General features: G+C 43.7%; 1 long non-coding RNA gene across 2 annotated transcripts in view, besides 1 other annotated feature; it reads right to left on the reverse strand.

Moving 5' to 3' along the window:
• The window catches only part of LOC105376345 (uncharacterized), a 28,677-nt gene extending 26,000 nt beyond the window's left edge, over positions 1-2,677 (reverse strand). For both annotated transcript variants that reach the window (XR_930537.3, XR_007062033.1), the window contains exon 1: positions 2,267-2,677. This is a non-coding gene — a long non-coding RNA (uncharacterized LOC105376345). The remainder of the gene's footprint in view (positions 1-2,266) is intronic.
• Positions 4,930-5,639: an enhancer, noted in NCBI's record as "OCT4-NANOG hESC enhancer chr10:1816736-1817445 (GRCh37/hg19 assembly coordinates)". NCBI's record gives its function as "activates a minimal SCP1, AML or CMV promoter by ChIP-STARR-seq in naive and primed H9 embryonic stem cells {active_cell/tissue: H9 hESC(naive and primed)}" and the evidence as "EXISTENCE:reporter gene assay evidence [ECO:0000049][PMID:30033119]".

A 21,491-nucleotide genomic window follows, 5' to 3' on the forward strand; every position in this document is an offset into this window, starting at 1 on the left:
ACAACTATCTGATCTTTGACAAACCTGAGAAAAACAAGCAATGGGGAAAGGATTCCCTATTTAATAAATGGTGCTGGGAAAACTGGCTAGCCATATGTAGAAAGCTGAAACTGGATCCCTTCCTTACACCTTATACAAAAATCAATTCAAGATGGATTAAAGACTTAAACATTAGACCTAAAACCATAAAAACCCTAGAAGAAAACCTAGGCATTACCATTCAGGACATAGGCACGGGCAAGGACTTCATGTCTAAAACACCAAAAGCAATGGCAACAAAAGACAAAATTGACAAATGGGATCTCATTAAACTAAAGAGCTTCTGCACAGCAAAAGAAACTACCATCAGAGTGAACAGGCAACCTACAGAATGGGAGAAAATTTTCGCAACCTACTCATCTGACAAAGGGCTAATATCCAGAATCTACAATGAACTCAAACAAATTTACAAGAAAAAAACAAACAACCCCATCAAAAAGTGGGCGAAGGACATGAACAGACACTTCTCAAAAGAAGACATTTATGCAGCCAAAAAACACATGAAAAAATGCTCACCATCACTGGCCATCAGAGAAATGCAAATCAAAACCACAATGAGATACCATCTCACACTAGTTAGAATGGCAATCATTAAAAAGTCAGGAAACAACAGGTGCTGGAGAGGATGTGGAGAAATAGGAACACTTTTACACTGTTGGTGGGACTGTAAACTAGTTCAACCATTGTGGAAGTCAGTGTGGCGATTCCTCAGGGATCTAGAACTAGAAATACCATTTGACCCAGCCATCCCATTACTGGGTACATACCCAAAGGACTATAAATCATGCTGCTATAAAGACACATGCACACGTATGTTTATTGCGGCATTATTCACAATAGCAAAGACTTGGAACCAAGCCAAATGCCCAACAATGATAGACTGGATTAAGAAAATGTGGCACATATACACCATGGAATAATATGCAGCCATAAAAAATGATGAGTTCACGTCCTTTGTAGGGACATGGATGAAATTGGAAATCATCATTCTCAGTAAACTATCGCAAGAACAAAAAACCAAACACTGCATATTCTCACTCATAGGTGGGAATTGAACAATGAGATCACATGGACACAGGAAGGGGAATATCACACTCTGGGGACTGTGGTGGGGTGGGGGGATGGGGGAGTGATAGCATTGGGAGATATACCTAATGCTAGATGACGAGTTAGTGGGTGCAGCGCACCAGCATGGCACATGTATACATATGTAACTAACCTGCACAATGTGCACATGTACCCTAAAACTTAAAGTATAATAAAAAAAAAATAAAAAAATAAAAAAAAGAAAAGAAAAAAAAATCAGATTCACACACACAAAAAATCTAATAATTTTTAGTCCATTTAATTCTTTTAAGGAATTTTATGTACTTTGCCCTCTGTTACCAGATGCATGTCATAAATAAAGGTGATGATAGGACAGCTGGGAATATGTGGAAACATAATTCAGTTTTAGTGTTTGATATGGGACAGGGAACACAGTTAAGTCAGGTTATTTTTATGTTCCCATCTACTTGACCGGCATCTCTAAAGCTACTGAAAATCCATATTGGAGACAGGACAGAGAAAAATGCTTTGCTGAGAGATGTCCTGCTTTTCACAGCACGTGTTTCTGATGAGGGGTATTTAGCTTTTCACGAGGCGCATTTCCACGTGAATGCGGCTCCCCTTACATCTGGACAGAGGTGGAAGGAAATGGCACCCCGTGCCCTAACCATTGTCTAGTATTATGTGACTTATACCCTTGGCCCTGCCCCTGAAGTTTATTATTCTTCCTGATTATGTTGAGACCTCTTTATTTTGAATTTATTTCATTTTGGACTTATAGTCATCCTTATAGTTTGTACTGTCATCTTCCTTTCTTCGCCTATCTCAGTCACCTTGACCAGGTACAATGCTGGACCAAGGCCGAGAAAAGCAAATTTAACAGGGCCATCTGTGAAGTCTCACCTTTAGAAGAAACAACCAAAAAAACATTAGCTGCCGAAGTATAGATTTGGAGGGCCTGCTGGGCCCAGACAGCCAGGCATGGAGCTAGGAGTTTTAGTTGGCAATAAGCTTATAATGAGCCAACAGTGTGAGTTCCGCGGACGGATTCAGAGCTAGAAAGAGTGAAATAGGAAGTATGGTCTGGGGCATGAGAGGGAGACGACACTGATAATCTGTAATTTACCTAGAGAAGCGTAATCAAGATCACCTGGATTATCAATCACTAGATAACGCTCACCGTGAGTGCTGTTGGGAGACACCGCTCAGTCTGCGGAGGACGGCAGAGCCAGTTTGCTCTGGCTTGGCCTGAAGAAGACGCTGAGAGTCGTCGAAGCTGTCCTCGGTTATTGAAACTCTGTTCTGAGGGAGGTGGAGTGCTTTCCTCCACATGGCTCCAGGAGATTGGACGATGATGAGTGTCTGAGCATTGAAAAAAAACCCATTTGTTATACAAAGCAGGAATTTCTTAATGAAGAGGGCCAGGTCTCAGTGAAGAGGGTTTCTCGGCAGGACGTGAAAACTTTCCACAGACTGGATGACTCTCCATCAGAAATACCGTGCGAGTTGGCTCTGTGCATGAGAGGTAGCAGCAGAGGTGAGGTGGGTTTTTGTTGTTGTTGTTGCTATTTTTGTTGTTTCGTTTTTTTTTTGAGATGGAGTCTCGCTCTGTCACACAGACTGGAGTGCAGTGGTGTGATCTCGGCTGACTGCAACCTCCACCTCCTGGGTTCAAGCGATTCTCCTGCCTCAGCCTCCCGAGTAGCTGGGACTACAGGAGTGTGCCACCATGCCCAGCTAATTTTTGTATTGTTAGTAGAGATGAAGTTTCACCATGCTGGCCAGGATGGTCTTGATCTCTTGACATTGTGATCTGCCTGCCTCGGCCTCGCAAAGTGCTGGGATGACAGGCGTGAGCCACTGCGCCTGGCCAGGTGAACTTTACTGATGAGACGCTGCTGGGCCATCGGGACACCTGCAGTAGAAATGTTTACAAGGCAATAAAATGTGCAGTTCATGCAGTTCATGCTCCAGACCCTCTCCCGGGTCTGCTTTTCCTCCTTTTTCTGTTCCCAGGAAGGGCTTTGGAATCAGACCTGGGCTCAGGTCCCAGCCCTGGCAAGTTCATGTGACATTGGTAGTCTGTGACACTGAGCAAGAGTGTCCTGGGATTTGGGCTGGGAATCTAAGCATGGTGAGCCCTGAAAGAGTTGATGTGTGTGGTAAGGAGTCTGCCTGTGCTGGGTGCCCTGGAGAGAAAGGGGGTCAGTGATCACCATTGTTATCCAGGTCTCCTCCTTACCTGGATGCCTGTCTCGCGTCTAATTCTTACCTGTTCTTCATACTGAGAGGTATATGCTTCAATCTAGCATCTCCGTATCCTACTCCTCTATCCACACTGACCCTCCACGGAAACGCCCTGGTGGTCTTGTTAAGAGTAGGGAGCTCAGCAGACATGAGCAGGGAAGCAGAGGCCCCGCCCCAGGACTGCCACGTGACCATCCGGTGATGGTCAGGCAGTTGTTAAACTTTCTCTCTAAAATAGTAATTGATCACAGTCAGTGCCAGGGAAAGGCAGTCTCCGCATAGATAGAAAACACCTGAAGCTGGTGATCAGCAGCTTCCCGATAAGACCTCCGGAGCTGGGCGAGCAGGCTCAAGCATACGCACTAAGAGGCAAGGTGGCGGAGTTTAACCAGTGTATGACCTTCTAGGAAGCTCAGCTGCTAGGGGAAGAACGCCTCAAGTGAGCATGCGCACAGCTCCAATAGACACCGGGCCTGCAGACCGCACGCCTCAAGTGAGCATGCGCACAACTCCAATAAACACCGGGCCTGCAGACCGCACGCCTCAAGTGAGCATGCGCACAGCTCCAATAGACACCGGGCCTGCAGACCGCACGCCTCAAGTGAGCATGCGCACAGCTCCAATAGACACCGGGCCTGCAGACCGCACGCCTCAAGTGAGCATGCGCACAGCTCCAATAGACCCCGGGCCTGCAGACCGCATGCCTCAAGTGAGCATGCGCACAACTCCAATAAACACCGGGCCTGCGGACGGCACACCCCAAGGGAAGAACCAGAGGAGAAGAAATGCAAACCCAAGAGCCATGCCAACACAAAAAACCCCAAGTCAAGGGTGGATGGAGCACTGAGACCTCTCACATCGCCTGCTTAGCCCTCTTCCGAGTGTCCTTTACTTCTTTTTGTTGCTGCTCTAAAACTTTAATAAACGCTCACTCCTGCTCTAAAAGTCATCTTAATCTCACACTCTGCCTTATGCCCCTTGGCCAAATTCTTTCTTTTGAAGAGGCAAGAATTGAGTTGCTGCAGACTCATATATATTCACCTCTGCTAATGGTCTGTGAGGAAGTAATTCCGACCGCAGGTATGGCTGCAGCTGGGCTTTATTCTATGCTGTAACTGGCCTGGCTCATGCCTCTCCCTCCTTCCCGGATGAGTGAGGACACAACAGGGCAGTGACTACTCCTGGCACTTAAATCTCAGACTCTCGATATTTTATCTGATGAGAAAAAGTAAATAAAGTGATTTGTAAAGGGATAAATCTGGGATGCTATGAATTTTCAACATGTAGCAGAAATATGTGTCATTTTAACTTTAAGAACAGCCATCGTATCCAACCAAGAAAGGTTACCGTGTAAATAGTATCCCTGGACTAGATTGTGGCCATCATGAGCTTCTCCCTGGGCGTTTGTAATCGACCTCACAGTGGCCTGTGAATAACCCCCAAATAGGGAGTTTTCCCTCTTTGTAAGTGAGATGTACATCCTAGAGTCAAAATCAAGTGGGGGGGCGGGGAACCCAGAAAAAAACTGATGCTTACCCAAGAATGATTGTTATCATGAATTCAATTAAAAAAATTATTTTTTAAAGATCCCAAATTTTAAAAGAGGCATTTTGTAATCAAAAAGAGCTGATGGCAAAACCCATCTTGCTTGTGGAATGTATTTCTTTCTTTAATTTGTGGCCGTCAAGATAAAAGTTTAAATATCAGATATGAATGTGAAAAGCACCGTGTCTACTATATTTAATATAATTATAATTTTTCAATATTTTATTAGCAACAAAGTCATATGATAACGAGGCATATTAGCATATTTATAATTCTGCCCTTCATACCCAGCAGGTTACTTGCAGGCTCTTTAATTCGAACGATCTTTTGTGTAAATGTAAACTACCTTTCCATTGCTAACAACACCATTGACCCCATGTCAGGCAACATTATCTTTTCGGTAATTTGCACCAATAGCTGCATTGTGTTTCATTTAGCAGAACGCTTATCAGGGAAAGACAGGAAGAGAGACATCCACAGCTCTTTGTCAAATAAATGGAGGTGATAATAAAAAAACGATAGGACTTAAGGAAGCAGATTGAGGAAGTGTGCAGACAGGAGGCAGAGAAGAGTATCTGGCCATTTGAGAGCAGAGAGAGGTGGGGCCAGGAATGCAGGAGGTGGCTCCAGCTCTGAGTGGCTTTGGGGTAGGAGCAGGTAGGTTGCAATTCCTTGTTCCCAATTTCAGGTGCTTAAGAAACTCTACTTCTGGATTTGGGGGTTTGAAATACAGGATGCAATTGCAGAAATAGCCTGTAAAGATGGAAGTGGGGAGCTGGTTTCATGGTCTCTGAACCCTCCATGGAATTGGAGGTTGCAGTGAGCCGAGATCATGCCACTGCACTCCAGCCTGTGTGACAGAGTCAGACTCTGTCTCAAAAAAAATAAAAAATAAAAAATAAAAATAAATAATAAAAAATTAAAAAAGATGTGCTCAAACCTAGTTATAATGACTTAAAATTCATGGTCCAAAACTGCAATTACTTTTGCACCAACCTAATAGTCAATGCCCTAAGAAAAAACTGTCAGCTCAGCAGGCCAGGGCCAGAGTAAATAGGAAATTTTCCCAAGGAAATTCGGGAAAGGAAAGAGGACTGCTGCAGAGAGTAAGATGGGAGAGAGAAGGGATAAAAGTTAGAGCAAGAGGGGTTTTCAGAACTCTTAGGCTGTTACCACAATCATCCTGGACAGGAGCATTGGTCCAATTTTATTCACATCTTTAAGGACAGAGTGGTTCCAGTGGGCATTCAGCTACATTTAAAAATGACAGAAAGTATAAGAGAAAGGAAAACTAAGTCCTATGTGATTATCTTTCAAACTAAAATTGAAGCTTACGGTTTTTCTGCTGGGTTATGTGTGTGGATATTTAAAGTTCCAGTGGCTTCCCATCTCTGGCTATTATTTCTGTGGCATTCAGAACACAAGACTCTCCATTGACTGAATTGTCCAGTAGTATTAGGTCTTAATCAGCACAAAAGCATTAACAGTCTGAAACATTGCAATAAAAATTTTCTGCACCAATAGATAATGAAGAAGGAGATCAAAACAAACCTCTGAATACACATGTATTTATGCATGTGTACATGGGCACACACATGTACATGGAACGATCTATTAGAGTAGGGAGCTCAGTGACATGAGCAGGGCAGGAGAGGGCCCCCCGTCCAGGAATGTCAGGTGACCCTCAGGTGATGGTCAGGCAGTTATTAAACTGTCTCTCCAAAATAATAATTGGTTGCAGCTGCTGCCAGGGAAAGGCAGCCTCTCCATAGAAAACACCTGAAGCTGATGATCAGCAGCTTCCCGATAAGACCTCAGCAGTTGGACGAACAAACTCAAGCATGTGCACTAAGAGGCAAAATGGCGGAGTTTAACCAGTATATGACCTTCTTCCAGGACGCCCAACTGCTAAGGGAAGAATGCCTCAAGTGAGCATGCGCACAACTCCAGTAAACACCGTGCCTGCGGCCCTCCTGAGCACTAGCAGGCCGCTGTGCACGCGGACGGCACACCCCAAGGGAAGAACCAAGGGAGAAGAAATGCAAACCCCAGAGCCATGCCAACACAAAAAACCCCAAGTCAAGGGTGGATGGAGCACTGAGACCTCTCACATCGCCTGCTTGGCCCTCTTCCGAGTGTACTTTACCTCCTTTTGTTCCTGCTCCAAAACTTTTTTTTTTTTTTTGGAGAGGTAGCCTTGTTCTGTCGCCCAGGCTGGAGTGCAGTGGCTCGATCTCTGCTCACTGCAAGCTCCGCCTCCCGGGTTCACACCATTCTCCTGCCTCAGCGTCCCGAGTAGCTGGGACTGCAGGCACCAGCCACCATGCCTAGCTAATTTTGTTTTTTTTTTTTTTTTTGGTATTTTTAGTGAAGGTGGGGTTTCACTGTGTTAGCCAGGATGGTCTCGATCTCCTGACCTCCTGATCCGCCCACCTCGGCCTCCCAAAGTGCTGGGATTACAGGCATGAGCCACCGCGCCCGGCCACTCTAAAACTTTTTCATAAACTCTCAATTCTGCTCTAAAACTTGCTTGTCTGTCCCTCTGCCTTAAACCCACTTCTGCCCCTCAGCTGAATTCTTTCCTCCTCTGAGGGAGATGGCAAGGAGTGAGTTTGCTGCAGACCTGTTTGGATTTGCTGTTGGGGACAGAGCTATTTTACTGGTATCCTCTTGGACCCTTTGACACTTTGTTTTAGTGCCATATTTCACAGGCAGTTCTTGATATTTTAAAATCATTTTTGGAAGGAGACAACCTGCTTTGGATTATTATTTTTTTGCCGTGCACAATGAACGGAAATGTTGCAAATATGAGCTTTCAATATCATTTGTTATTTTTTCATCAGAATATAAATTGCTGAACTTAGTACTAGTTATCAGAAAATTGAGGGACAATAATTTAAGAAAAGGTCAGTGGAAGTAAAGTGTGGCTCTCAGAAACAAGGGGCTCCCCTAGTGGAAAAGGCAGGCTGAGATAGGGAAATAGCAGGGAAAAGGCTGTGAAAGGCAGGAGGATTTCACACCCATCTGCCACTTACTCAGAGGTCGTGGACTGGCCGTTTAATTTTTTGAAACTAATTTTCCTTATGAGAACAGATGTTAATAGTGACCTGTCAAAAGTCGTTTCCATCAAATACTATAATAACCTAGCTCAGTGCCTGGCACATGCAGTCACTTAAGGAGTAGAAATTTTTATCATTATCATTATTATTATTGCTAGTATCTTGCTTACTAATAGGTTGAATGCCGTTGACTTCCACTTGCCTACTGGTCCAAGCTTTAAAGCTTCTTTAGTGTTCCCTAGAATGTCTATCAATCTGATTGAGAAGAGTGTTTAGGCTTTTGAGATGGAATCATTGACTTCAAAGTGCTCAGACATTACTATTGCTTGTGTTTCTAATCTGAGAGAGAAGACAATTACAACAATTATTGATTCACAGGATTTTTGTGTTGGAAAGAACTTCAGATAATTTTGTTTCCTTTCTTTTTTTTTTTTTTTTTTTTTTGAGACGAAGTCTTGCTCGTTGCCCAGGCTGGAGTGCAGTGGCACAATCCTGGCTCGCTGCAACCTCCATCTCCCAGGTTCAAGTCATTCTCCTGCCTCAGCCTCCCAAGCTGGGATTACAGGCATGTGCCACCAGGCCTCGCTAATTTTTGTATTTTTAGCAGAGACGGAGTTTCACCATTGTTTGCCAGGCTGGTCTCAAACTCCTGACCTCAAGTGATCTGTCTGCCTTGGCCTCCCAAAGTGCTGGGATTACAGGCATGATCCACTGTGCCCAGCCAGACTTCAGATAATTCTTGAACCACTTCTCTGCAGCCACCACTGAGACTGAGGATGGCCAGGCCAACAAAAGTTCCCCTTTTCTGATCCATGCAGCTGTAGTCAAGTTAGAACAAGAATCCGTCTCCTAGACACCACTGTGGGGTTTCCACCTTTTAAAATAGAGTATAGTTGGGCTTGTTAGTATTACAGCAGCCCTCTCTGGAGTATCAAAATACATGATATGACAAAAGTTAATTATACACAACCAGCCAAGGAAAAAATCTCAAACTGAAATTCACAGTTGAATCTTTATGGTTTCCATGGTAATGGGAAGTTGAGAGTGTTCAAATAGAGGAATCTTGCACAAAAAAATGTGTTGGGTGATTTTTCCAACATCTCGTAAGTGATTAATCAGGCCAGATCCATCGTGATGTTACTGGGAGCTGCGTGTCAGAGAAAAGAGCAAGCTCCGTTTCAGTGCCATCCGCGTGCAGCACCTGTGGCTCTCGCTGTGTGCTGGCTCTCCCCAGGCAGGGAGACAATTAAATAATGAGGAAGGCATGGGCTTCCTAGTGCCCACGGGCCATTAGAAGGAATCCTCTTCTGCACCCCAGTCTGATGTTCTTCCTCATGCAAAAGTTTACCAGGGGATTCAAGATGTGGTCGAGGTCTGCGTCCAGTGACCACAGTTGTGTCATTGACTGAGCCACAAAGAGAAAGCAAAGCAAGGGATAACCAGAGGGAAGCTGGCCTACGACTTTTTAATTTTGTATTTATTTTTTTGTCTCGCTCTGTCGCTCAGGCTGGAGTACAGTGGTGCAATCTTGGCTCACTGAAACCTCTGACTCCTGGGTTCCAGTGATTCTCTTGCCTCAGCCTGCTGAGTAGCTGGGACTACAGGTGCGTGTCACCACGCCTGCCTAATTTTTGTATTTTTAGCAAAGACGGGGATTTCTCCAGGGTGGCCGGGCTGGTCTCAAACTCCCGACCTCAAATGATTTGCCGGCCTTGGCTTCCCAAAGTGCTGAGATTACAGGTACGAGCTACTGCACCCAGCCACACCCACAGCTCTTTATGATGCCGCTGACAGTGACTCCACTGCACAGCGGTGGCAGAATGGCTGCTCCTTGTTGATGCTGGGTCATAGACCTATGAGATTTATCTCACTGTTTTCTTCAGTTTTATATAAATAAGAATTCTAATAGAGGGAAAGAAAGATAACCAATACATACAACAGCTTCAAATCACAAAACACCTTTAATATAAACTGGCAAAAAGTGCATATTAGTGTGGACGCGAGAGTCAAGCTCTTTAAAACATATGAAAAGATTTATTCTGAGCCAAATATGAGTGACCATGGCCCGTGATGCAGCCCTCAGGAGACATTGAGAACATTTGCCCAAAGTCGTCCGGGCACAGTTTGGTTTTAACCCTTTTAGGGAGATGTGACGGGGGCAGGGAAGTGCTGCATAGAGAAGGGCAAGGTCCCTGGTGAAGCCTGCATCCTCTGGCCTGTGCCCATGGACCTAAGTGAGAACAGGTACTCCTGTTTTTGCACCTGAACGTTGCATTTTCCAAGCCCACTCTGGACTGCCATGCCCCTTCCCATCCTGTGCGCATAAAAACCTAAAACCATAGTGGGCAGAAACACAAGTGGCTGAACATTGAGAAGAACAGAGGCACAGAGCAGGGCAGAGTGGATCTGGACCACAGGCACAAACCCCGGCCCCGTGCAGCATGCTTGCTTGTCCAGCGGGAAAGGTGGGAGTGCTGCCCTGCGGCGGGAGGACACACAAACTGCCAGTGATTGGCCAACAGACTCCTTCCAGAACAAACTGCATGATCTGGTACAAGGACATATCCAGAAAAAGCCTCCGGGTGGACCTATGGCCCTGGCCACAAAGTATGATGACCTTGAAATTCCACGTGAATGCCCCGGAAGACATGGACTCCAGAGGAGGCTCCGAACAGTCAGGTGGGCAGGTGTATGCCCCGGGAAGACATGGACTCCAGAGGAGGCTCCGAACAGTCAGGTGGGCAGGTGTATGTCCCGGAAGACATGGAATCCAGAGGAGGCTCCGAACAGCCAGGTGGGCAGGTGTATGCCCCGGAAGACATGGACTCCAGAGGAGGCTCCGAACAGCCAGGTGGGCAGGTGTATGCCCCGGAAGACATGGACTCCAGAGGAGGCTCTAAACAGCCAGGTGGGCAGGTGTTCCTTGGACATCACAGTTCCAGGACCAGGAGGGTCCCCGTGATGGAGACGGTCCCTCTGAATTTAAATTGTCCCAACAACATGGGCTCCTTCTCATGTGCACATATCCTGCTGATGCCATGTATAGATGCAGCTCCCTTAAGGCACTGAGATGAGATTGAGCAGTGGAACGTTGGGGAAATGAGGAGCTTAAAATTATCCCCAAATAGAGAAGATAAATTAAGAAATGAAATTTTGTAGTTTGTGCCCATTCACAAACACTTTGAGATTCTCCTAAATATTTCAAATGGGATAAGGAAAGATATTTAAGCTACCTAGCAGGGGAAAACTTGTTTTCAACATTAATATTAGTATTTCAGAGGAAGAGCTTATTTTCTTCAATGTTATATAGGTTTATTAATTAATTCATCACCAATGTGCAAGCCAGCAGCTGCAGTGCTGTGTGCTTATTTTTAATGAAAACTAGAGGAAGACATTTCATTTTTAAAAAAATTCTTCAGTAAAGATAATTCATAAATATTGTTTTTGCTTTATAATAAGAAAAATAACAAAATATACTAATTCTTTTATCATTGGTTCAAGGGGTATGTAGAAGACTCTTTTAAGATTCTGATTTTTTTTTCTAGTCTATCCTGCTACCTCTATCTTCACCATGATATCAAAACTTCAGTGAAAAAATTTAAAGCTCTTAACCAGCAAGGTAAATATAAAGCATACATAGTCTTCAGACAGACTGACTTTAAGCCAGGAGGAAGCATTGGTGTTTCTTTCCACAGTCTAATCTGTATGTTGGTGAAATGATGCAGAGATCTTGGTGAAACAAAATGTATAGACAACTGTCACAGTCGATTTCATCTGCTTCTCAGAAAAAAGAAAATTCATGATGCACATCAGGGCATCTGAGACAAATGTGAGAAGCCTGTCCCAGAGCGTCTGTTCTACGGATGCGTCCCACTGTGGTCAGTGCCCTTCTGCTGCTCCATATGCAGGCGGTTTTTTTCTTTTCTTTTCTTTTTTCTTTTTTTTTTTGAGACAGAGTTTCGCTCTGTCGCCCAGGCTGGAGTGCAGTGGTGCAATCTCGGCTCACTGCAATCCCCGCCTCCCGGGTTCAAGCGATTCTCCTGCCTCAGTCTCCCGAATAGCTGGAGTTACAGGCATGTGCAACCATGCCCGGTTAATTTTTGTATTTTTAATAGAAATGGGGTTTCACCGTGTTGTCAGGCTAGTCTGGAACTTCTGATCTCAGGTGATCCGCCCGCCTTGGCCTTCCAAAGTGCTGGGATTACAGGCGTGAGCCACTGCGCCAGACCTATATTTTATTTTCTTCTCCTTTTTTTTTTAAGACAGAGCCTTGTTCTGTTGCCCAGGCTGGGGTGCAGTGTCGCGATCGTGTGCCTGAACCTCCCAAGTAGCTGGGATCACAGGCGTGAGCCTCCACGCCTGGCCATGTATGCAGTTTCTAATTTACATCCTCATAAATGATGGCATCATGAACACACTTGCACACATCTTTCACCTGAATCTTTCAGATTATGGAGGTAAAGGCGAAATTGATTCTTATCACAGAAATGTTGAGTAAAAGGACCTGAATTTTAAAGAAATGTTGATAGGCAATTGCAAGGGAATTTATGGTATTCTAACACCTGTATTCCCATAGGCAATGCGTGATAACTCTCTTTTCACTATTCTTTTGCAAAGATTTAGTATTCTTATTAGACATAGCTTATGCCTTTTGGTACATAAATTTTGGTATCTGGTATATTTTTGCATTTTATTGCTTATTCATGATATTGTTCACATCTTAATGTATTTATTGAGCTTTTTTCTCTTTAGATATTTTAATTTATTTCTATTTTGTGTTCATATTTTATTTTTTATTTGTGAGCCCTTTTGTATTAAGATTATTAACTCTTTATAATTCTTGAAGCTAATAATTTTCTGGGTTAATTGAGGTTGTTTCTGAGAGATGTGGCTGGTGGGATGACAGAGAGACAGAAGGAGAGAGAGAAAGAGAGAGAGAGAGAGAGGAGGGAGAGGAGGGAGAAGGCAATGTAATTTGCCTTACTTTGCTTAGTTGCCTAGCAGAATTATACTAAGATTGGGAGAAGGCAATGTAATTTGCCTTACTTTGCTTAGTTGCCTAGCAGAATTATACTAAGATTGAGGTCAATTGGGCCTGTTTTAAGTGTATTTATTCAGAGTGGATAATATTGCCATATTTACCCAGTATTTCAGTTTGTTCTTCAGATGTTGGCTGTTTAATTAAGGGCTGTAAATGGCTACGTGTAAAATAACACTATGATAGTGGTTACCTGTATCTAACAGTTTATTCAAAGACTCACTGTAGGTATTTTTCTTCATGCTACAAAAAGGAAAAGTTAGCATCAGTTCCATTTTTGAATGTGTAGAATGATTCACAGACAAAATCAGTTTATAAATTGCATCTACCAAAGAGATATTTAGGAAGGGAACATTATGTCACCAAGATCTATTTATTTAACCAGAACTTTGTAAACCTGTGAGATCATGTCGACACCTGCTCATTCTGCTCCTTCTCCAGGAGGCACCTGTGCTCCTGTCTGAGTAATCCCAGCAGGCCACGCCAGCTGTGGAAGGCACATGGGCTAAGGAGGTCCTGTGCTCTCAGAGCAAGTTGCCCGGGATGCAGGGCAACACACACAAGTGTGTGTCATCATGCGCCATGGAGGTCCTTGACTTCCCAGGTAATTGCGATGTCCAGAAAGGCAAAAAATAAACATAAAGCAAGTCAGAAATAAAGATTCAGAGAAGTTTTTCTTTGAAGGGAATCTAAGGTTGGGAGCAGAGGCTGAGAAGACCTATATGAGCAGTTCAAAGAAGAGGAGTTTTTTTTATTATTATCCTTTAAGTTCTGGGATACATGTGCAGAACGTGCAGTTTTGTTACATAGGTACACACGTGCCATGGTGGTTTGCTGCACCCATCAACCTGTCACCTACATTAGGTATTTCTCCTAATGTTATCCCTCCCCTAGCTCCCCATCCCCCAACAGACCCTGGTGTGTGATGTTCCCTTCCCTCTGTCTATGTGTTCTCATTGTTCTACTCCCACTTATGAGTGAGAATATGCAGTGTTTGGTTCTCTGTTCTTGTGATAGTTTGCTGAGAATGAAGGTTTCCAGCTTCATCCATGTTCCTGCAAAGGACATGAACTCATCCTTTTTTATGGCTGCGTAGTATTCCATGGTGTATATGTGCCACGTTTTCTTTATCCAGTCTATCATTGATGGACATTTGGGTTGGTTCCAAGTCTTTGTTATTGTAAATAGTGCCACAATAAACATATGTGTGCATGTGTCTTTATAGTAGAATAATTTATAATCCCTTGGGTATATGCCCAGTAATGGGATTGCTGGGTCAAATGGTATTTCTAGTTCTAGATCCTTGAGGAATTGCCACACTGTCTTCCACAATGGTTGAACTAATTTACACTCCCACCAACAGTGTAAAAGCATTCCTATTTTTCCACATCCTCTCCAGTATCTGTTGTTTCCTGACTTTTTAATGATCACCATTCTAACTGGCATGAGATGGTATCTCATTGTGGTTTTGATTTGCATTTCTCTAATGACCAGTGATGATGAGCATTTTTTCATATGTTTGTTGGCTGCATAAATTTCTCCTTTTGAGAACTGTCTGTTCGTATCCTTTGCCCACTTTTTGATGGTTTTGTTTTTTCTCTTGTGAATTTGTTTAAGTTATTTGTAGATTCTGGATATTAGCCCTTTGTCAGATGGATAGATTGCAAAAATTTTCTCCCATTCTCTAGGTTGCCTATTCACTCTGATGATAGTTTCCTTTGCTGTGTGGAAGCTCTTTAGTTTAATTAGACCCCATTTGTCAATTTTGGCTTTTGTTACCATTGCTTTTGGTGTTTTAGACATAAAGTCTTTGCCTATGCCTATGTCCTGAATGGTATTGCCCACGTTTTCTTCTGGGATTTTTATGGTTTTAGATCTTATGTTTAAGTCTTTACTCCATCTTGAGTTGATTTTTGTATGAGGTATAAGGAAGGGGTCCAGTTTCAGTTTTCTGCGTATGGCCAGCCAGCTTTCCCAACACCATTTATTAAATAGGGAAATTTTTCCCCATTGCTTGTTTGTGTCAGGTTTGTCAAAGATTAGATTGTTGTAGATGTGTGGTGTTATTTCTGAGGCCTCTGTTCTGTTCCATTGGTCTATATATCTGTTTTGGTACGAGTATCATGCTGTCTTTGTTACTGTAGCCTTGTAGTATAGTTTGAAATCAGGTAGCATGATGCCTCTGGCTTCTTTTTTTTTTTCTTGCATAGGATTGTCTTGGCTATGCGGGCCCTTTTTTGGTTCCATATAAAGTTTAAAGTAGTTTTTTTCCCAATTCTGTGAAGAAAGTCAGTGGTAGCTTGATAGGGAAAGCATTGAATCTATAACTTACTTTGGGCAGTGTGGCCATTTTAGAAGTGCTTTTGAAACAGTGAGACCCTAACACTTAAAACCTTAGCAGCACAATGTTATGTCGGATCAGAATATAATGAAATGCCTGAGGTTTGGATTTGTAGTGTGATATTTTTCTCATTTGAGTTTGTTTTGTCTCTTCATTTGTGGCAATTTTTTTCTTTTATAAAAGGGCATTTTAGGCTGGAAGTCCGTCTGTTGCAATGCTGCCCTCACGGGCACCCGTGCACCAATCTGGCCCTTAGCATGTGCTGATGGCGGGGGATTGGGTGTTGTGAGGGTTCATTTTATGTGCAGCATTACTGGGCCACAGGGTGCCCAAATATTGGGTCAGATGTCCTTCTGGGTGTTTCTGTGGGGGTGTTTTGGGATGAGATTAACATTCGTATCAATAGGTTGAGGAGAGCAGGTCCCTCTCCCAAACGCGAGTGAGCCTTATTGGATGGTGAAGGTTTGCATGGAACAAGGCTGGCCTCCCCGAGGCCAGAGCATCTCCTGCTTGGCGGCCTTTTTGCTGGGACGCTGGCTCTGCAGTTTTGGATTTGCCAGCTCCCATGATCATGTGAATCGGTTCCTACACAGATGTGTGTGTGTCTGTGTTTGTGCGTGTGCATGTGTGTGTGTCTAACAGGGTGCTCTGTTTCTCTGGAGAACCCTGGCCAACACAATTGCCTCACCATGACTAATGGAGCAGGTGAGTCTGCTCGGGCCCTAAGCTGGAGGAGGGCGGGGTGGGGGGGATGGAAGAATCTTGTGTTTGCCCGTCAGCCTCTGTGCACCTGCTGAGCTTGAGCGTGGATGACAGGAGTTTGCAATGGCCACCACAGTGTGCTCTGCAGTTGATGAGACCCCTGCTCTCCTCCTTCTCAATGAACTCTGCCCTGTCACTGGAGAGTGCCAACTTTGGGATCCTTCCGGCTGAGCTTGATAGTGGACGATAGGAGTTTGCAATGGCCACCACAGTGTGTTCTGCAGTTGATGAGACCCCTGCTGTCCTTCCTCTGAATGAGCCCTGCACTGTCACTGCAGGGTGCCAGCCTTGGGATCATTCAGGGGACACTCTGCACTTGAATGACCGTTTGCCTATTTTTAAACAATTGTGACAGAGGTGAGGTTTGTTTCCAAAAATTCAGGGTCAGAGGGCACTGACCAGTGGTTGGCACCTTGTGATGGGCACATGTAAGAACAGCAGTAACTTTCAGAAATAACTGATAATATATTCTGAAGGGGCTACTATTTAGATATAAAAACAAACTGTATTTTGTAATCACTGGGGTGAACTTGGGTGCATTTGGCTATGAATCCTATCAATGAATGCACGAAAAAGGTTTTTAAATGTTCCAAAGTTCCAGTTTCTTTACTTAAAATGGAGATATGAGGAACTACCTATCACGTAACACTTTTTACAATTAATATTTGATATAGACTTGCACTTGATATTGTTCCAGCATGGTCATTCCTCCCCTGGAAGAGCTGAGATCTATCCCATAAACATTACAGGAATCTAAAAAAATGACTTAGAACCCAGAACAGAGAGCCACTTTTTTTGATATTTGAGGGGTTGGAACATATTTAATGGAGGAGCCAACTTCGGCGCTAAACATAGGGAGACGATGATTGCGTGGTCAGTGCAGATGCAGAGGAAGCTGGGATAGTCACGGGCAGGTGCCCGGGGGCTGTGTGTCGATGAGTGTGAAGACAGGCTCTGTGTGAGTGCACGTACATGCAGGTGTGTGTATGTGCCCATGCCTGTGGACACACACACGCGCTTGCAGCCATGTATGTGTCTGCACGTGTTTCTGCATGTGTGTGTTTGCACCCGTGTGAGCTCCTTTGCCAACGCACTCATATTTGTTTCCATGTGCACGTGTGTGTATGTGCTTATGTGCATGTGTGCAGTGTGTTTAGCGCTAAAGAGAACTGTAAGGAAGTAAGTCTGGAGAGGTGGGGTGGATTTGCCACACAGAGACCAGGAAGCCTCCTTTCAAAGGTTGTCGGCTTCGCACTCGTAGGAGGGCAGTTTAAAGTAGAAGACGAAGAAATGACTTTACGCACACATCTAGAGGGAAGCACATTCACAGAGGTGCTTGGCAAAATGAAATGTTGATTAGGGTGAATTTAAAAAATGAAGCTGCCTTTTGGAAGTTATAGAGAAATTCACGCACCAGTTTTCACTCTTAAGCCTTAGAAAAATCCTCAGCAGATAAAATATAAATTAATATGTTTTGTGAATAGCCAGAGATGTACTACTGAGATTCTTTTATGTGATAAGCTTTCACAATCTGTTTCAAGTTTTCATTTTTAAAAATATTTAATCTGTGCTCAAAAATTAATTAATATCTTGAAAAATGACAAAGCTCCTCACTAAGTCATAATTGGGTTCAACAAGACAGCAGCTGAATAGATGAATAGCCTTTTTTTGCATGGTGATTACACTGAAAGCAGACATATGTTTTGCAATCTAATAATAACAAAAATTAAAATGACCTTTTATTGTTATTTCATACCAGTTTTTACAGTTGTGATTTCATTATACTTGTAGAATAGATATGTTATAAAAATCTTGCACTAAAAAATTACAGGCAATGCAATATATAGGTTGACTGCAAGAAAAGTTCCAATTAACAAGAGTAAAAAATATTTTCTATCATTCATATGTTTTTATTATGCTTCCTGATAATTATTTAACAGGAGCTACATATTGTCAGTGTAGAACTTAATCAAACATGCTGCTCTTGATAAATCATGATTAGTAACTACATGCTCATAGTTTTAAATTCAAAATCTATGATCAACAAGAGAATATGATTTTACCTTTTATGAAATTCTGAAACAACCTTTATGACCATTTTATATCTTTAAATGTCAGATATTAGGATATATTAATAGATAGGGCCCTTGACTGGCGGTCAGGTGCATAGTATGTAGCCCTGGTTCTGGTTGTCCTGTCAGCTTAGCCATTCTGAGTCTCTTTGATGTTACCTGTATAACGAGGGCGTTTGGGCCATGCATTCTCTTGAATCCCTTGCTATTGTGAAATGATCAGATTTTGCTTTGCATGTAGGATTCAAAGAATTTGTGAAGTGTTGTATAGTTTTAATGCAAATTGTATTTAAGTCCATGCAATATAGTTATTTAGGTACATATAATAGAGTTAGAAAGAAGATAATAAATATAAAAGAATTACTGTTGGTAACCACATTTCTTTTGTAGTACTTTTTTCTTGGAAGTCAGCAATTTTGAGAAGCAGCCAGGTGGTAGCATTTTAAGTCCAGCAGCCATTGCACTCTTGTCACAAAGGGGTTCACTGTCTATGCAAAAGAACTGCCTCAGGTGGTCAGCGTAAATCAAATCATATGCTTGGTTTAAAATGATATGAGAATGTCTATTGAGATAAGATAATTGAACAAATATTTTTTGACCACGTGTGTTAGTCCTGGGCCTGTTTTAGGCTCTATGAACATCTGTTTTAAGCATAAAACATACACATTCACTTCCCCGTGAACTCTCGGAAAAATCTGTAGTTTGATTTTTTGATCTGGTGCAGCTAAGGGGAGCTCGGGGGGAAGAGTACATGAGCCTAAACGGTGAGGGGAAGAACCTGTTATGAGCTGGAAATGAGATGCGGGCCTAGGGGAGCCAGGGATCCTTTCTGAATTGGCTGCTCTTTGGAGGGATTAGCGAAAGTGAGGATTAATTCGGGATTAGGTGTTGTCATGAGTTAAAGGCAGTTTAGCAATCAGGTATCCAATTTCTAGGTGGAAATAGCAAAGCAGTTCTAGGATGTTATTAGAAAGAAAGCAATTACCACTCAAAGAGGGGGTTGCGATGGCATTTCACAGCTGCTGCGTCACCCCAGAGGAAGCTCTTCCTCAAAACCTGCAGTTGGCTTTATCTACGTCTCCTCCAAGTCTGGCCAATGAGAGGGCTGTGCTTTTTCTTTTTTAAAACTAGACAAGTTTATACCATTTTGAAATGATTTAAAAAGACATCACTTAGTATGGTACCATGCTGATACGTAGTATACAATAAACTACTTTGGGGAACGACGCTAGGTAGGACTGACGGAGTGTTGAAATTTCAGAGAATTGGTTGGCTCAATCCAAGGGCAGACAGACTCTGCAGCCAGGAGCACGGTTTCTGCTGCAGCTATGGAACCCCCCTCGGGAATATGGCTTCATCTCATCAACACTAACTTCTTCATTCATGATGCCCGCAGTGATGCTAACACAGAAGTTAACGTGAGAATAAAATGAGGTAAGGTATGTGAAGTGTCCTATTCTCTCCATAACTGTACATGGTAGACACACAATGGCAAACTCATTGCTTATCCCTCCCCTTTGTTCTTTTTTTTTTTTTTTAAATCCTTCTGCCTTTATTTTCTGTTCATAGGATTCCAGATACAAATAGATATGGTGGAATGATGAAAGGGATTTATTTACTTAGTGGAATTAACTGTATCTAGTGAACATTGGTTCAAAATGGTTTATAATGTTCATAAAATTGTTATGATTTTTACTGCATCCAAATCCTAATCCTTTTCACAGCTTGTTCCCAACTGCGGCATGCACCTTGGGCATTTGTTTAATGGAGGTGCCATCGTTGTGGCTCGTATGTCTACACTGCAGGCTGTTTCAGCCTCCTGGGGATGCGGAACAGCCTTTGGCATGGCTGCAGTGGTATTCACTGTGAGCTCCACCCAGCCCAGCTCAGCTGCAACCATGGTCATTTAGCTCCCTCATCCTCGTCTTCCTTCAGCATGGCATGGCAGGTGGATTTGACCATCCTACGGTTAATGAGAGCAGCCGTGTAATAGAATCTGGGACTTAGGACCCTGTGTGGTGTCCTTTGACCAAGGAGCAACAAAAAGGGAGTGGCAGAAAAATCCCCTCCACTTCTCCCTCCAGGGTCTGTTCTGAGCTGGGCAGGCCAGCAAGACCTGTCTAAAGACAGCCTGCAAGGCTGAGCTGCCGGCCGTTACTACCGAGTGCTTCTACTTCTGTCATTTAGCATCTTGAATGTTTTTTCTTTTTCTTTCTTGACCCACTTCCTTTTTTCCCTTAGTCTTACTATGCTGGAATTGCACTTAACAAAAATCTCAGCACACACATTTTGCCTGATTCTCTGTTTTCTAGGGAGCAGAGGGAATTAAGAAAACTGCTGCTGTGGGTTACTTTACAAGGCAGATTTGTAGACTGGTCATTTGGAGGGAATGACCTCCACTGCCTCAGTTATTAGCACCCCGTGATGAGGAAAGCACGAGCCCTGTTCCAGGAAGAGGCACATGCCCAGAGCCTGGACTATCCTCAGTGGCAGAGAACACTTTCCGTTTACAGAGCACTGCCCACTGGCTGCTACCGGGTCCGCATCCGTAACTGGCCACACAGATGTGAATTAATTGTGATCTCAGTATTAGAGGCTCTTCATGTCCTACGGCTCCTGGAGGCAGCAATAATGCGTCATCATTTGATGATGATCATGACACATTTGGGAACCAGGCAGGAAGGAAAGAGTTGGTTACATCATCAGGTAGACCAGATGCCCATGCCACCTGCTTCTTTGGCCCTGATGCACTTCATCCTCAGCTCCTACCTGGCCTCATGGGAGGCTTCCAGCATCAGCCGGCAGAGCATAAAGGGACTTGAGTGACATTCACAGAATTCATACAATACGTTGCTCCTAGACCGATGTGGACTTTGGCTGCACTGCAGCCCCTCTCAGCATTGCCCCTAAAGAACACGGGTGCAGGGAAGCCCTCCAGGTGGCGAGTTGAGCAGTACATTTGGTTTTCCATTTTGTTTGTAGGGAGATACTCAGGAATATATGCCAACTCATGAAGGGTCATCAGTGCCTGAGCTGGAAACAGTGATCTCTGTCCTGGATGGCCACCTGCTTCTCCTACAGCTGCTCCCAGCCCTTGCACAGTGGACCAGTAAACACAGTGGCTCTTTTGACCACTCTGAAGGGATGAAGTCTGTGTGTGGCTCTGAAAGTATGGGCTCTCTCCTACCACTGCTGAATGTCCAACATTCCAGCAGCAGAGTCCAGTGCTGGGTTCTGGGTGCAGTACCTTGGGTGCCACACTATGCAACAGACCGCAGGCCCTGCCTGCCTGAGAGGGGCAGCTCTTATCCTTATCATGACTGATGCACGCTGCAGAGATG

Source organism: Homo sapiens, chromosome 10 (genome assembly GCF_000001405.40).
Source record: "Homo sapiens chromosome 10, GRCh38.p14 Primary Assembly".
Classification (NCBI taxonomy): domain Eukaryota; kingdom Metazoa; phylum Chordata; class Mammalia; order Primates; family Hominidae; genus Homo; species Homo sapiens.